Source organism: Homo sapiens, chromosome 6 (genome assembly GCF_000001405.40).
Source record: "Homo sapiens chromosome 6, GRCh38.p14 Primary Assembly".
In the NCBI taxonomy this organism is placed as follows: Eukaryota; Metazoa; Chordata; class Mammalia; order Primates; family Hominidae; genus Homo; species Homo sapiens.
In genome coordinates this window covers 18,819,954-18,824,383 of record NC_000006.12, presented here as the reverse complement: position 1 = coordinate 18,824,383, position 4,430 = coordinate 18,819,954, and positions in this window count along the sequence as shown.

Genomic DNA, 4,430 nt, shown 5'->3' with positions numbered 1-4,430 from the left:
TGCATGTTGTTTGTCAAACTTTTTATAATCTAAGCATGCAATGACAAACTTAAATATGTCTTGACAAAAACCATAGGAATAATGGAGTATTCTAAGTAAAGGTGCTTTGGAAATGGAAAAAGTATTGCTTGAATATGTCTGAAAAGTGGTTTACTTCACCAACATAACGACTGAGAAGGTAAAACCGCTTTTACTTTCTAAAAAATGGAAGTCTAGTATCTTCTGCTCAAAGTCCACTCTTTCCTAGCTTTCTCTCCCCTTAATGGCATTTCACAAACCTGGGTTCACACAATCTATCCCAAAGGTTTAATTCTTGCTTCCAAGTACCACGGGAAGAAAGAGAACTGCAACTAATCTGTTGTTCCACAAGTGATTCTAAGGCTGCCACACGGTGGCGCTGTTGAACACTGGTTCTTGCACAGCCCAGTAACCATTGTCCTGTGCTAGTCCAAATCCTTGGATAAGAACCTCCCACCCATAAACTCTTCCTCTCCCTCTTCTCTTTCCTGTTATTTCTCACTGAACTTCCAGTTCTTACAGATTTTTTAAAATGCAGAACATATTCACCTTCCACACTTAAATTGCTTTAGAGAATATTTTCTTAAACTAAGATGGTGTCTTTCCTTCTCTGATTCTGGCCACTAAAAATACTTTATTCTCATCTTGCATTATAAATAATAGATTAGAAAGTTACTGGTGGACAAATTATAAGGTTGGTAGCACTTCCCACAACTGCATTGGGCTACTTGTGAAGTAGTAAGTTCCTGAACACTGAAACTTAAATGACCATTGTCAAGAACATTTTTAAAAAATTGTATAAGAAACAGCTAACCTGAATTTTTCAAGCCCTGCATATTCCCAAAAAAGGCTGCTTTTAGGAGTGGCCTGTATTAGGCCATTCTTGCATTGCTATAAAGAAATACCTGAGACTAGGGAATTTATAAAGAAAAGAGGTTCAATTGGCTCATAGTTCCACAGGCTTTACAGGAAGCATGGTGTTGACATCAGCTTGGCTTCTGGTGAAGCCTCAGGGAGGTAACAATCAAGGAAGAAGGTGAAGGAGGAGGCAGGTGTCTGCCAAGCCTTTTTCACTTTTGCACTCTGCATGCCCACAGGCTTAACATCACATGGAAGCCACCAAGGCTTACCACTTGTGCCCTTTGGAATAGTGGCCCCAGCTGTATCTGGTGCCCTTTGAGCTGAGGCTGGAGCCAGAGGGCCCAGGATGCAAGGAGCAGCTGCCTGGGGTGGCACAGGGCAGGTTACCAGGAGCTGGGAAGGGTCAAGGGTACCTGTGTTAACCAGGTACAAAAATACTGTTAGACTGAATAAGATCTAGTATTTGACAGAACAACAGGGTGACTATAGTCAATAATAATTTATTGTACATTTTAAAATAACTAAGAGTATAATTGGATTGTTAGTAACACAAAGAAAAGATAAATGCTTGAGGTGATAGATACTCCATTTACCCTGATGTGATTATTATGCACTGTATGAAGGGAAGGACAATAAGAATATCAAAATATCAAATATCAAAATATCTATATCAAAATATCTCATGTAACCCATAAACACATATACTTATGTGCCCACAAAAATTAAAATAAAAAATTAAATAAACCTTTAGAAGTACTTCAGGAATTTAAGAATAGACATGTCTGTGAGAGATTACAGGTAAACTGACTTGGCTTCAGTGGAGGAAACAATAAGAGTTGTAATTGGAAGTATGAAATTTAAGGACATATGAACTGACCAAATAGAAGCTTTCATTGAAAGAAAGAAAGTTACATAAATTTCATAAATTATGGACTAATGTGATAGAAAAATCCTTGAATATATATGCTAGTCTAACTTCCTCATCCCAACTATGTTCTTTTCAAAATAGCATATTTCATTTACTGAGCAGCCAATATTACAGCAACAATAGAAAATCCATAACATCCTGAATTCCACTACCATAGTACATAGAGTCAGATAGACTTGGGTTCTTTGCCATTTAGTAGCAATGTTACCTTGCATAAGTCACAAGTTTCTTTCACTGTTAGCACTATCCTGTAATATAAGGTTACAAACCAGAGGACTACAAATTTCAAACCAGAGTAGCTACATGATTTGCCCAAGGTCACTTTGCTAGTCAACAGAAGAACCACAGCTAATACCCACATTGTCTAATTCTTTGTCCAGAAATCCTTCTTCTCTATCATATTTAATGTAAAGTAAAATTGTGGGCAAATTTTCAGGGAAATAATGGTTGAACAGAAATAGATTACCTATTAGTGATAAGAAGCAGACCGATTCAACCAACAGAGTTCCAGAGAAACTGAGAAATTGGAGACATCTGTAGCCATGGTAGGTGGAAGGGTTAAAACAGAGGATTGTATGAAAGCCTGTGAAAGGAAATTGGGTCCCATCTGCATTCAATATAGAAGGCAAAAATCTCTACCCTACATTGCAGGAGAAGAAGTAAGATCTCTGAAGAACTTGAGCCAGGGAAGCCCAGACCCAGTGATGACATGCATGGGAAAATCTCTGGTTGGGGAATAAATCTGAAAACAAAACCCACCATAGAAAAGAATAATGCTGTCTGAGTCAATTTATGGGAACTTCAAGAACACGTAATACTAACCGAGAGGGATAGAAGTCGAAATAGTTAGAGAGAAGAGAATCACTGATAGGGAAAGGGCACCAGGAAACTCTGGGGACATGGAAATGTGTAGCATCTTGATGTAGGTGAAAGTTACACAGGTACATCTACATGTAACCATTTGTAAAGCTGTGCACTCAAGATTTGTATATTTTACTGAATGTACTGCATGCCTCAATTTATAAAAAGAATCCAGAAGTCTGTTAGTATTAAATCTAAGCTTTTCAGGCTCAGTAAAGTTTTCATAACAACATAAGTAAAGAGATCTCCAATGCAGAATTGATCCCTTATTTTGGTTCACTTTTTCACCCAGAATACTGATTTTCAACTTTACTGGGTGAAATTTTTTGAACCTTTTAAAGTCAGCTGCCCTTCTTGTCCCAGAACTTTCTTTACATTTATGTAACTAGCTCATTGGGCAATAACTAGCCCATTGAGGAAATTGCATTTCCTCAATCCTAACCACTGCTTCAAACAATATTTGGAGATACATGTTTTGAAACAAATATATGACACATTATTATTGATCTTTAATAAGCCAATCAGCACAAACTTCCTTGTCAATCTTTACTTCCCTCCCAATGTAACTATAATTTTAATTTCTATCCACAGAAATTAGTTTTGCTTGATATTGAACTTTATGTAAATGGGATAATACAATATATACTATTTGGTGTGGGGCTTCTTTCATTCAACATGATGAGTTTGAAAAATAGTAATCTGGAAAATGCAGGCAGACAGGCTTAACTGCGTTAAACTGAAAACAGTGGAGTCAGGATCTGGAATTAGTTATCCCCACTGTCCTACAGAAGGCGCTAGGGCACCTGATTTAGTTGCCAATGATGGACATAGGTCCAGTCAAGCAATGGAGCAAGACATTTGAAGGTTCAGTAACAGACAATAGGAAAACGTTGTAGTGAAAATGTTGAGAAGAGAATGAACAATCAAAAAGACAGAGGTTCCAAAAGGCAGCAATGGTAATCTGGCAGACAAGTGGACTAGTCTACATTGGTAATTCAGGAGCAAGAGAGCCTCGGATGCAAGACACATGTAACCAGCAAAATTTGTCAGCAGATAATAGAGCACCAGTACATTGATCTGGGGCCAAAGGAGGTAGGGCAAGTAACCACTGTGTTCAGGGAAAGGAATTGTAAGGGGCACAAAGAAAACTGGCGGCAAGAGTGACTTTATACTCTGTTTTCTGAGTGTTTTGGCTTTAAGTCATTTAATCTGGGATCAGGATTTGACTGTCTGTTTCTCTTTATAACAAGAGGGAGGATGAGTGGTGAATTTTAGGCAAGGTCAAAAACAAGTAGACCTTGCTTTCCTAAGCATGGAATTCAATGACAAAAATCACTGGCACAATTTCCACTGGACAAAGAGATGTCCAATGCTGAGTTGGAAAACTACAATTTTATGGGAAAGAAATCTCAATAAGGAAAGAAATTTGTCAACTTTTCTGAGTTCCTTAGAAAAAGTAATTTATCTATTTGACAGGTTTTCCAGTGTGGTTCTTAGATTTCTACATCAAAATTCTTCAGTCTTTCCCTAAACCAACAATACAAAATTTCTAGGAGTAGATTCCCTCTACTCTGCTACTCTCAACAAACTTCTCAAGTGATTCTTATGCATATTAAAGTTTGAAAAGCATTGTTTTAGACTAAGAAATAAGTCACGCCTGTATGGTAATAAATAATTAACTTTGTAATTTTTGTTTACTTGGATCTTAAAGGATTAGTTATTAATCCCCTTATAACATGAAAGAGTTAAAATTCTGAATTTT